Source organism: Homo sapiens, chromosome 19, assembly GCF_000001405.40.
Source record: "Homo sapiens chromosome 19, GRCh38.p14 Primary Assembly".
In the NCBI taxonomy this organism is placed as follows: Eukaryota; Metazoa; Chordata; class Mammalia; order Primates; family Hominidae; genus Homo; species Homo sapiens.
Window position 1 is genome coordinate 37568047 of NC_000019.10, and position 13673 is coordinate 37581719.

At 39.2% G+C, this 13673-nt stretch overlaps 2 protein-coding genes, 1 long non-coding RNA gene and 3 pseudogenes across 9 annotated transcripts in view; 5 read left to right on the top strand and 1 right to left on the bottom strand.

Moving 5' to 3' along the window:
* ZNF571-AS1 (ZNF571 antisense RNA 1) overlaps positions 1–13673 on the top strand; it is a 38400-nt gene that overhangs the window by 19098 nt on the left and 5629 nt on the right. For all 4 annotated transcript variants that reach the window (NR_038248.1, NR_038247.1, NR_038249.1 and 1 more), the window contains one exon: positions 1804–1950. This is a non-coding gene — a long non-coding RNA (ZNF571 antisense RNA 1). The remainder of the gene's footprint in view (positions 1–1803; positions 1951–13673) is intronic.
* Positions 1–13673, top strand: part of ZNF540 (zinc finger protein 540) — a 62806-nt gene that overhangs the window by 16673 nt on the left and 32460 nt on the right. The window lies entirely within an intron of this gene.
* The window catches only part of ZNF571 (zinc finger protein 571), a 30533-nt gene that overhangs the window by 3787 nt on the left and 13073 nt on the right, over positions 1–13673 (bottom strand). The window lies entirely within an intron of this gene.
* MTND4P41 (MT-ND4 pseudogene 41) lies at positions 2230–3179 on the top strand (annotated as a pseudogene).
* On the top strand, positions 4797–6702 carry MTND5P45 (MT-ND5 pseudogene 45; annotated as a pseudogene).
* Positions 11562–12461, top strand: MTCO1P41 (MT-CO1 pseudogene 41; annotated as a pseudogene).

Below are 13673 nucleotides of genomic sequence, written 5' to 3' on the forward strand. Positions count from 1 at the left end.
AAGATCTTATATTATTCCGAAGAAAGAAGTTGAGAAACAAGTGTACTTTTCAAATGCAGAGAAACCTATCTGATGTAACTGGATCAGCAGGCACAGGGTCTCTGACCACTGTATATAGGCTGTAGAATAACAAAGACTGGTCATGGGAAGAAAAATAAATACACATCAGTAAGCTCAAATTTAAACAGTCTTTTAGAAATAAGCCTCCAAAACTTGAGAAAACACACTTTTGCTGAAAAGCAAAAAGAAATGATAAAAACAAAAGCAACTACCCCCCCCCACTTGCCATATACACACCACAGCTCAGTTTAACACCAATTCATGTCAGCAACACATCCTAGAACAAGATAGACCCTGCTTTTGTTTCTTTCATAGAAGAACAATATGGTTTATAAAACACTGAAAGAAATCAATGGGCTTATGGTGATTAAGGGAACACTATAAGGAATCAAATAAATTCAGTTGGGACCCAAAATAGCTACCTATGTGCTAGTGCCCTAATAAAAATGGGAAGAAATATTAATCTAATATGATTCTGGGGTAGGAGGCACTATGAGAACACAGGATGGTGCTAAACAGAAATCTAGAGGAATATAGAAAAAGTTAAGATTAGAATACCAAAGTCTCAGAACTGTGCCCAGAATGAGGAGTACATATAAAAATGTATTCAATTAAGTAGCAGCTCTTTTTATTGTCATTAAATTAATGAAAAAACTATATGGTGAAAAAAGGGAAAACTGCAAAAGGGGTGATGAGTGAAGACAACAAAATGGAGTCTGAAAAGGAGGAGTCATTTTAGGAGGTTTCTTTTATTCTTGCCCCCATCAAGTCCTACTGAATATATCTCCTAAGTAGCTCTCGAATCTGTTACCTTATCACCAACACCACTGCTGACACTCGGGAAGCCCAAGGCATCTTTTTTTTTTTTGAGATGGAGTCTCGCTCTGTCATCCAGGCTGGAGTGCAGTCGTGCCATCTCAGCTCACTGCAACCTCCGCCTCCAGGTTCAAGCAATTCTGCCTCAGCCTCCTGAGTAGCTGGGCTTACAGGTGTGCACCACCATGCCTGGCTCATTTTTGTATTTTTAGTAGAGATAGGCCTTCACCATATTGGTCAGGCTGGTCTCAAATTCCTGGCCTCAAGTGATCCACCTGCCCCGGACTCCCACAGCACTAGGATTACAGGCATGAGTCACTGCGCCTGGCCCCAAAGCATCCGGAACCACAACAAAAACCTACTCAGTAATGTTATGAGACCCTTTGTTCTAATCTCCATCTGGCAGATAGAATGGAATAGTAAATATGAAAATCACATTATGTCACCATCTTAAGATTTTTCAATAGCCTGCAAAAATTGGAGGGATAAAATCTAAACTCTTCTGCAGTATTTTTCAAACTTCTTTTGACTAAAATTTCATAGTAAGAAATACATATTATGACTGAGTACACACACTCAAACATAAAACAAGGATGTCATAAAATTATCTTTGCTATATGTATTATATATTCATATTTTGTTATTTTATCTCCTGTTTTATTAAAAACAACAAGTGCTGCTTATAACCTACTAGGTTGTATTCATAACCTCTAGCAGGTTCTGCCCGGCCTGGCTCCAGTCAACCTCTCCGACTCCCTTGTGGCACCTCTGCCTCACTAGGCTCCAGCTGCAAAAGCCTTCTCTCAATACCTCATACAAACCAAGCTCCATCCTCCTATGGCCTGCAGTACACTGTTACTTCTGCTAGGAATGCTCTTCCCTCTTCTCTCTATCCTCAGTCTCCTTACCTGTTTTTCATTCTTTCAGGGCTCACCTGAAACTTCATGTACCATTGCACTTCCTGAGAAGCTGTCCCCAATCCCAGGCTCCTAGCAATGCTGTTCCAGTAATCTCTCTTCTGTAAGACAGCCACTCCACCCACTGCAGTCTACAAGGAAAGCCTCCATAGCTGTGGTAAGACCTCCACATTCTGCTATTAAGGCTGGCTTCTCCACAGAGATCTCAATTTCCATAAGCTCTTAGTGTAATAGCCTTACTATCCTTAAGTTATAAAAAGAATAACCACCCACCCTCCCCTAAAAGACCACTAGAGGCCAATCCTTTAATGCCTGACATCTCTGGGTTATCTCAATTACCTTAAAAGCTTTGGTTTCCTGGGTCCTTGGTCATCACTAGGACTCTTATCCCATCCATGTCCTACTTCACTCCAAACTATGCCTTTTGGAATTCACAGTGTACTTTCTACAAATCGTCTACAACCTCTGCCCCGCCTGTGATTATTTTCTTCACCTTCTTGATCCTTTTGAAACTTTGAGCACACTACTTGGCCAGAAACAATGTTTTCCTTCATGTCTTTCCCTCCACCTCGCTTCACCTAACCTCTCCCAAGATAGACATAATTATAGCAAGTCAACACCAACTCAAGGAATCAGATATACAAAAAAATATACTCAATGTTAATTTTTCTACAAATATTCCTAATCATGACATTTACCATCATAGAACTAATTGTATTCTGTAGTCTCTTTGGAGCAACTCTAATTCAAACTGTAATTGTTACTACCCAATGAGAAAACCAAACAGAATGATTAAACACAGGACTTTCATTTCCTGTTGTATACACTGATTGGCTCTTTACCCCTACTCATAGAATTAATCTATATCTAAAACACCATGGATTCATTAAATATCTTAATAACCTACTACTGAATTCAAATACTACCAAACTTCTGAATAGTCTCCTATAAATAGAAGGCATTATAGCATTCATAGTAAAAACAAAGGAAAAACAACGAAAAAACCCACCCCTTTATATCCTCCATCTTTGATTACCAAAAGCATATGTAGAAGCCCCAAATGCTGCACCCACAGTTCTTGCAGCCACATTACTAAAATTAATAGGCTGTGGTGTAATACAAATTACTCTAATTTTAAATCTACTAACAGTATATAGCCTATTTCTAATATCACTATGAGGAATAATTATAACAAATTCTATTTGTTCATACTAAACAGACTTAGAATCACTCATTGTGTATTCATCTGTAGCTCATACAGCATTACTAATTATAGCATTTCTCATCCAAATGCCATGAAGTTTTATAGGAGCCCTAATAACTGCCCATGACCACACAACATCAAAATGATTTTGCCTTACAAATTCAAACTACGATTCCAGGCACGGTGGCTCATGCCTGTAATCCCAGCATGGGAGGCTGAGGTGGGCAGATCACCTCAGGTCGGGAGTTTGAGACCAGCCTGGCCAACATGGTGAAACTCCCAGCTCTACTAAAAATACAAAAATTAGACAGGGATGGTGGCAGGCACCTGTAATCCCAGCTACTTGGGAGGCTGAGGCAAAAGAATCGCCTGAACCCAGGAAGTGGAGGTTGCAGTGAGCCGAGATCACACCACTGCACTCCAGCCTGGGTGAGAGAGCGAGACTCCATCTCAAAAAAACAAAAACAAACAAAAAAACAAATTCAAACTATGAACAAATCCATAGCCAAACCATACACAAGGTTCCCCAACTTATGATACTTAGACTTAAGATTTTTCAAATTTACCATGGTAAGAAAGCAATACACATTCAGTATGCTCCTTGACTTACCAAGGGGTTACACAGAACTACTTACAATATTTTTGACATTATCCAGAAGTAACCCCAACATATGTTGAGGAGCATCTGTACTACTAGCTCGCAGACTACAGACATTACTTCCTTTAACAGAAACATGATAAGTATGGGCTAGCCTAACTGACCTAGCCTTTTGCAACAACTTTTTGGCTCCTAAGGCCAACAGATTGCATCTAACCTTTAAAAGTTCAGAAAGCTATATTGTTACATATGAAGGCATGAGTTAGCAGTTGATAGCCTTACTATCAACTATTAACCAGAATGGAGAATTATTTTAAATTATATCTTTTTTTATGATCTAATTTTACCATTATCCAAATAGACTATATGGCCATAATTAGTACATTAGTCCTATCTATCAATCACATCACAATGAGAAAAATTCACATATCACATTAATAACATCAAACCATCATTCACATGAGAAAATACTCTCATATTTATACATCTCCTACTTCTGTTACCCCTATCACTTAACTCCAAAATTATTCTAGGACCCATACACTGTAAACATAGTTTAAATAAAACATTCAGTTGTCAATCTATATAGAAGCTTAAAACTCTTTACTGTAGTTCCCCCTTACCAAGGTTTTACTTTGTGTGGTTTCAGTTACTCATAGTTAACTGAGGTCCAAAATATTAAATGGAAAATACCAGAAATAAACAATTCATAAGTTTTAAACTGTGTGCCATTCTGAATAGTATGATGAAATCTCACACCATCCTACTCCATCTTGCTCAAGACATGAATCATCCCTCTGACCAGCATATTGTCTAATTTTGCCATTATCCAAATAGGATCTGCCTATTAGTCACCACCCAGTAGCTATCTCCTTTATCAGATTCAAAAAACACATAATATATATGGCTCAGTACTAGCTCTGGTTTCAGGCATCCACTGGGGGAGCCTTGGAATGTATACGCCGCAGATAAGGGGGAACTGCTGTTTTTGCTAAGAAAGTATGCAAGAACTGCTAACTCATGCCTCCATATATAACAATGTGGCTTTCTGAACTTTTAAAGGTTAGAAGTAATCTGTTGGCCTTAGGAGCCAAAAATTGGTGCAACTTCAAATAAAATTAATTAATTTCTTCTGTTCTTCTATCATAATTTTACTTACCAACTTATTTTTACCAATTACTATAACTATTTACAAAAATACTCATTTGCCACCAGCCTATTTCCAACCCTAATATTTATTCATTCAGGGCAAGAAATAATTATTTCAAACTGACATTGAATGACTTTCAAACTTTAAAACTGACACTCAGCTTTAAGTTAGACTACGTCTCAATAATATTTGTACTAGTAGCTTCTTTCATCACATGATTGATTATAGAATCTTCAATGTGATACATACTTTCAGATCTAAATATTAATCAGTTACTTAAGTACATACTTATATTCCTCACCACCACACTAATCTTAGCTAATGCCACCAACCTCTTCCAACTCTTTTTTTTTTCTTCCAACTCTTTATTGGATGAAAAACAACAGAAATTATATCATTTTTACTTAATGGATGATAACACAGCCTAACAAACACAAACATAGCAGCCTCCAGGCAATTCTATATAAAAGTATTGGAGATACTGGATTCCTATTATTAACGGCATGATTGTTATACTCAAGCATTTGAGAATTCCAAAAAATTTCCACACTCAACCCCAACCCTGACACTGTCTAATTAGGCTTCTCCTGGCAGCAGCAACTGGTGAATCTGCCCAATTTGGTTTTCACCCATAACTGCCATCAGTGACAGAGGGCTCAACACTAGTTTTAGCCTTACTTCATTTCAGCACAATAGCTGTAACAAGAATTTTCTTATTAATACACTTTTATCTACTAATTGAAAATAAAACACAGTGGGGTGCAGTGGTTCACAACTGTAATGCTAGGACTTTGGGAGGCTGAGTCAGGAGGATCGCTTGGACCCAGAAGTGCAAGACCAGCCTGGGCAACACAGTAGACACAGACCTTGTGTCTACAAAAAAAAAAAAAAAAATCCGCCATGCATGGTGGTGCACAACTGTAGTCCCAGCTACTCAGGATGCTAAGGTGGGAGGATCACTTCAGCCCGAGTGTGAGGCTGCAGTGAGCCGTGACTGTGCCACTGCACTCCAGTCTGCGCAACAGAACGAGATCCTGTTTCAAAAAAAAAAAAAGAAAGAAAAAGAAAAAAGAAAATAACAAAACTGCTTAGCTGCTATTACTACTTTATTCACAGCAATCTGTGCCCTAACACAAAATAACATTTTAAAAAATCATTGCCTTTTCCACCTCAAACCTAGGTCTCCTAATTGTCACTAGTGGCATTAATCAACCACATTTAGCATTTCTTCACATCTGTACACATGTATTCCTGAAACATATACTTTTTCTATGCTCTGGATCCATTATTCGTACCCTGAATGATGAAAAATATTCTAGAAAACTAGGAGGCCTATTTAAAACTATACTCTTTATGTCTTTACTCATTTTTAGAAGTCTACACTTAATAGATATGCCTTTCCTTAAAGGCTTCTACTCCAAAGATTTAATTATTAAAACCGCAACGTATGCTAACACCTGAGCCCTTTAAATCATGCTTATTGTCACCTCCCTAAGAGCTGTCTATAGTACTCAAATTATTTTCTTTCCAGTCCTGGGACAACCCTGCTTTTCAACTTTAACTCAAATCAACAAAAACAGCCCCCTCCGAGCTAATTCAATTGAATGTCTTGCAATCAGTATTATTTTCACTAAATTTTTTTATCTCCAAAAATATTATTCCCATAACTATTCCCCAAATGACTATGCCACTCTACCTAAAACTCTTAGCTCATGCTTTAACTACCTTAAGTTTCATTATAACATTAGAACTCAACTAATAACATAAAATCTTAAATTTGAATCCTCATACATACACAAATTTTCCAACCTTCTAGGTTTCTTCCCAACAGTTGTTCATGGTTTATCACCATACCTAAACTTTTCAACAAACCTAAACATAGCACCAGTTTTAGTAGATATGACTAGAAAAAGTCACTCTAAAAATCATTTCTAACTTCCAAATGATAGTTTCAATAACCATCTCCTAATGAAAGTATTTTCTTCTCCTTCCTTATCTCACTTTTACTGGCTATACTCCTAGCTATCTAATTTCCCAGAGTAATCTCAGTAACAATAAAGATACCAACAAATAAAGATCAACTGGCCACAGCCATGAGTCGGCCTTCATAACTATATAATGCTGTTATACCTACAGAAACTTCCTGAAGACGTTCAAACTCTTCACCCTCAAAAATTACCCAATCCTTTACATTTTCAAAATCAAAAATCACCTCCACTTCATAACCTGTTATTCACATAATTATAAATAACTCTATGAACAAACCTAACAATACAACACCCCAAATAACAAAACTAGAACCTCAAGTCTCAGAGTTCTGAAGCTGATGTTCCACTTAAACTATAACCTGACTCTGCTACTTGAGAAAAATTATTGTTAAATGCTATGTCAGTACTGAGAAAATAAAATCTAACTACTTTATGGATGCATTATGTGCTTTTCCTGATAATAATGTACTAGTACTATTATGCTTGATTGTACATTGTATATACATGTGTAATCATACATTAAGATCCACTCCCCATGCATATAAGCATATACATGAAATTACAAACAGTGCTTAACCCATTGAATGGCATACCCACATATGTCAGATTTACCATACAAATACTGTTCAATACATTAAATCCTTATATTTTACATAGGACATGAAATTATTGATTATTCACAGTACATTCAGTCAAATCAATCCTTGACAACAAGCTTATTACCGCCAACAGGATTTCTTTAGTACTAAGCTTCAAGAAACCAGCAACTTGCTTGAGATGTGTCCCACTTCTCGTTCTGGGCCCATGAAACTTGGATGAAACTATGCCTGCCATCTGGTTCTTACTTCAGGGTCACGGACTTAAGATTGCCCATTCATTCCTCTTTAATAAGACATCTTGGTGGACTAATGGCTAACCAGTCCATGATCACACATCACTGTGATGGTGTCACACACTTGGTATTTTTTAATTTAGGGAATGTTGTGATCCAACATGGCTGTCACGGACTTGATGCAATAAAGCAAACTGTAGCTGAGCTGAAATTGAATAGTCTTTCTCTACACTGAAACCATAAAGTGTTAATTACTCCATGTTCGGTGGACATAGTAAAAAACATGACACAAACATATACACACAATTTCCGTTAATTAACTCCACAATCTCAAGCTATTGTAGTATTTGTGGATATAAGGCTTTTATTCTTGCCAAACTTCAAAACAGGAAATCTTGTATTTATTAACTACAGGTAAGGCATACATGCATACACACACACACACACACACACAAGTTCATCTAGAACTAAGTTTTAGCCCAACTCCTAAAGAATTTATCAAAATCCAAAAAATAAATTAAAAATTAGGCTTTCTGGGTTAAAAGTTTGTTTTTTACTAAATTTACTAAAAAATCCACCAATAATGACACAGCATTTAAACTTAGCCATTTTTTCTTGAGAGAGAATTTTCCACATATAAGCTAATGTAGCTTAATTCACAAAGCAAGGCACTGACAATGCCTAAATGAGTTCATATAACTCTATAAACAAATAGGTTTGGTCCTGGCCTCTTTATTCATTTTTAGTAACACTTGCAACTATCTGCATTCTAGTGAGAATGTCCTCTAGATCAACAAAAATAAAATAGAGCAGGCTTCAAGCACACTAATTAGCAGCTCGTAAAACCTTACTCTACCATACAGCCACAGAAAACAGCAATGATAAAAATTAAGCAATTAACACAAGATTGACTAAGTTATACTAATTTTCCTTAGGGTTTGTAAAATTTCATGCTTGCAGTCATATGACTAACCCAAATTAACAAAACAGCATAAAACATGTTTTTAACAAAACTCAGCATAAAACATGTTTAAGATTATAAACAAAGTTATACCTTAACTAGGTCATAAAAAGCTACAGCTAATATAAAAATAAACTATGAAAGTGATTTAATATATTCTGAATACATGATAGCAAAGACCCAAACTGGGAAGAAATACCCCAATATGCTTAGCCATAAACTTAATTAAATTAACAAAGTTATTCACTTTGTTAATTCACCAGAGTAACTTTGTTAATTCACCAGAGTACTACCAGCAACAGCTTAAAACACAAAGGACTTGGCAGTGCTTATATCCCTTTTTTTTTGTAATCAATAAACCCCAGTAAACCTCACTATCTCTTGCTAATTCAGCCTATACACCGCCATCTTCTGCAAAACCTTAAAAGGTACTAAACACAAGTATTTACATAAAACGTTAGGTCATGGTGCAGCTTATAAAACAGAAATAAATGGGCTATATTTTCTAATTAAAGAACATTCCATTTACAACAAACTTAATGAAATTTAAGGCGAAAGGAAAATTTCATAGTAAATTAAGAACAGAGAGCTTAATTGAATAGGGCCATGAAGTACGCACACAACCTTTCATCACCCTCCTCAAATATTTCAATATATCCAAATTTATAATTAACATAAATTTATATGAGGTAAATCATAACAAAGTAAGCATACTATATGCTTTAATAAACCAAAGTGTTTATTAAAACCAGCCTACATCTGGAAGGTTTCATATTGATTTGACCACTTTGAACCAAACCTAGCCCCAAATCAACAGAACCTAACAATTATATTTATTTAGACCAAAACATTTACTCACAACATAAAGTATAGGAGAAGGGAATTTCTTCAGGTGCTACAGAAAAAGTATCATAATGCAAAGATGAAAGAATATTAAGGACAAAAAAAGCAAAGCTAATCCTTTATACCTTTTATGTAATGAATTAACAACAATTTTACAAAGAGAACTTTAGCTAAAAACCCCAAAACCAGACAAGCTACCCACAGACTAACTCATATATGTAGCAAAATAGTGAGAAGATCCATGAGTAGAAGTGAAAATCTGGTGATAGCCGGCTATTCAGAACAGAATTTCAGTTCAACTTTAAATTTACTCAAATTTTAATCAATGTAAATTTAAATGTAACTCTAGGGGGGCACTCAAGATGGCTGACTAGAAGCAGCTAGTGTGCACCACTCTCAGGGAGAGGAAACAAAGTCGGAAGTAAATACTGTCTCTTTTAAGTGGATCATCTAAAACAGGGATCCCCAACCCGGAGCCACAGACCGTACTGTTTGGCAGCCTGTGGGGAACCGAACTGCAGAGCAGGAGGTGAGCAGTGGGCGAGTGAGCATCACCACCTGAGCTCCGCCTCCGGTCAGATCAGCGGCAGCTTGAGATTCTCATAGGAGCTCGAACCCTATAGTAAAGTGTGCACAGGACGGATCTAGGTTGCGGGCTCCTTATGAGAATCTAACTAATGCCTGATGATTTGAGGTGGAACAGTTTCATCCCCAAACCAGTCCGCCCTTCCCCTCTCGCCCCACTCCCCACGGCCAGAAATACTGTGTTCCATGAAACCAGTCCCTGGTGCCAAAAAGGTTGGGATAGCGCTGGTCTAGAAGACCATGTCAGGATTTACCACGGACGCCAGGGAACTCACAGAGAACAGAGAGACAAGCCAGGCAGCCACCTTCCTGGGACTGGCATGGAGTGGGAGAAGCTCCCTAACATGGTGAAACGGTGAGAGAGTGAGAGTCCCTGGGGAAGCCACACTTCCCACATGGCCCTTTGCAATCCTGGGCACAGGAGGAACCCCCAACTCCCATCCCTGGGCCACTAGACCAACACAGAAAGCCACCTAGAGTTTTTGCAGAGGCACTGCTCAAGCCCATGTGGAGCACCACAAGCCCCGGATCCCTGAGCAGCTTGGTGCCAGCTGCCATAACCCCAGTGGAAGCCGCAGTCACAGTGCTGAGGGGCGGTCAGAATGCCCAGCCCCTCCTCGCCAGGAAAGGCTCGGCTTCACCCTGCCCCCGCCTGAGCTCCCCAGCACAGCGACCCTGTCCCCACCTGAACTCTGCAGGCAGGCACAGCTCCACATTCCCCCAGGAACCTCCCAGATAGCAGACCATGCAACCCCTGCCCTACCTCCTCTGAGGCGGCTAAGGCTCTTCCAGCGCAGCAACCGCACCTCTGCAGCAACCGCACCTCCGCCTAAACTCTGGTGGCCTGAGGTTCTGTGTTCCTCTGGGGCAGAACTCCCAGAGGTAACAGATAACACTTGGCACCTCTGTATGCCCTAAACAGTGAAGTTCGGCATTGTTTGGAAGGGAGGGAAGGGCAAGCGCGCCACGTGCTCCGCAGCTGTCAGTCTCCATTGCAGGAGTCCTGCTCCAGTGAAAGGCCCACAGCACAGCCGCCCTGCCCCCACCTGAACATTTCACCTGCAGCCCAGAGCCCTTCTGAAAATCCAAACCCCACATACCGTGATATTCCCTTGGGCTCCCACCACCTAAGTGTTCTGTAGGACCCTGCATGAGAGTTCGACCAGTGACCTGGAAACCAACCTGTCCCACCTCCCCACATCATAGCCAGCACCTGAACTCTGGGCTAGCCCGACTGCAGTCCAGCCCCTTCAGGTCTCACACAGGTTGTCCAGTGGGCCAGCTAGGGGCCTGGGGGGAACTGGGGAACTACTTGCCCCATTCCAACTCTGCTGGCGCCTGACCATTTCCCCCAGGGCCTGAGGTCAGACCAACCCAACCAGCTGACACCAGCACAACACCCATTCACACAGGCCCTGTGGAGGAAGCCCCTTCTACAGGAAGCAGCAGTACTGTGACATCGGAAAACAGGTGACCCTTAACCAATGGGGAAAGGATTCCCTATTCAATAAATGGTGCTGGGATAACTGGCTAGCCATATGCAGAAGAATGAAAGTGGACCCTACCTTTCACCGTATAAAATAACTTAAGATGGCCTGATCTAGTACATGCAGAAGCCTCTGAAGATCTTACCATTTTCTCATTACATTTTGCAGGTGTTTCATCAATTTTCAGAGCTACTAATTTTAATTTTATTACAGTTATAAAGCCACCAGCCATATCTAATACCAGACACCACTATTAATTGCAGCTGTGCTTTTATTACTCTCTCTCCCAGTACTAGCAACCAGCATCACCATACTACTGACAGACCATAACCTTAATATACTTTTTTTGATCCAGCTGGAGGAGGAGATCCAATTTTAGGCCAACATTTATTCTGATATTTTTGTCTATCCAAAAGTGTACATTCTTATTTTACCAGGTTTTGGAATAATCTCACATATTGCTACCTATTATTCTGGAAAAAAAAGAACCATTTGATTATATAGAAATAATATGACCCATAATATCAATTTAGCTCATAAGCTTTATCGTATGAGGCTATATTTACAGCACGGATAGACATTGATACCTGAATGTATTTTACACTAGCTACTATAATTATTGCTATTCCAACAGGAGTTAAAGTATTTAACTGACTAGCAACCCTACATGGAGGTAATACTAAATGATCTCCAGCTATATTATCAGGTTTAGGCTTTATTTTCCTGCTGACAGTTGGAGGCCTAACAGGAACTGTTCTAACTCATCAGCAGACATCAATCCTCATGATATATACTGTGCTACAGCACATTTCTAACATGTTCTATCAATAGCTGCAGTCTTCACCATCACAGGATTTATTCACTGATTCCCATATTTTCAGGTTATACACTCAACCTGAGCCAAAATCCATTTTGTATTTGTAGGTGTTAGCTTGACTTTCTTTCCACAACATTTTCTTGATTTATCAGGCATGCCATGACAATAACTACACTGATGGATATACAACATGAAATACCATCTGCTATGGTTTGGATGTGGTTTGTACCCACCAAATCTCATGTTGAAATTTAGTCCCCAGTATGGCGTCTTGGGGGATGGGGTTTAGTGGGAGGTGCTTGGGTCATGGGGGCTGGTCCCCGAGAACAGATTAATGCCCTCCCTCAAGGGTGACTGAGCTCTCGCTCTACTAGTTCTCAAGGGAGCTGGTTTTTAAAAAAGCCTGTCACCTTTCCCCTCTCACCATGTGATCTCTGCACACACTGGCTCCCCTTCACCTTCCATCATGAATGGAAGCAGCCTGAGGTCCTCACCAGAAGCCAAACAGACATAGGTGCCATGCTTCTTGTACAACCTGCAGAACCACGAGCCAAATAAACCTCTTGTCTGTATAAATTACCCAGCCTCAGGTATCCTTTATAGTAACACAGTATGAACTAAGACACCTATTACACTTGAATTAGTTCCACTATAACACTTTGAAAAGTGACCAGCATCTATGTTTAAATACCAAAACTAGAAACATCCACATAATTTTTTTCAATAATTCTAGCATTATTTACTTCAATTGAAATTTTTGAAATATGCCTATTCTTAAAATCCATCACCAAAGAACACTGAAGCCTTAAAACGTGAGACCCCCTTGGGAAAAAGACAAGCTAAAATTTATTCACATCTTTCACTATTCCTACAATAATAGGACAATTTATTTATATTCTAATCATTTCATTCCCAAACATCATGTTTCCTACCCCCAATTGCCAAATCCATAATAGATTAGTCTCTTTTTAATAATGATTAGCACAACTTGTACTAACATAATAATACATAATGTCAAAGGATGTTATTACCAATAACAGCAACACGTCTTAAAGCACACTTTCAAGCAACCGTCCTTTTTGACCACCACCACTGAAGTTACCAGATCATTTACCTTTATACCACCCCTCCAGCATTTTATCTCCATTTCTTTCTTTCTTTCTTTTTTTTTTTTTTTTGGAGACATGGTCTTGCTCTGTCGCCCAGGCTGAAATGCAGTGGCGTGATCATGGTTCACTGCAACCTCGACCTCGGGGCTCAAATGATCCTCCCAACTCAGTCTCCCAAGTAGCTAGGACCACAGGCATGTGACATAATGCCCTGCTAATTTTTATTTTAAGTAGAGATGGGGTTTTGCTATGTTGCCCAGGCTGGTCCTGAATTCCTGGGCTCAAGCAATTCACCCACCTCAGCCT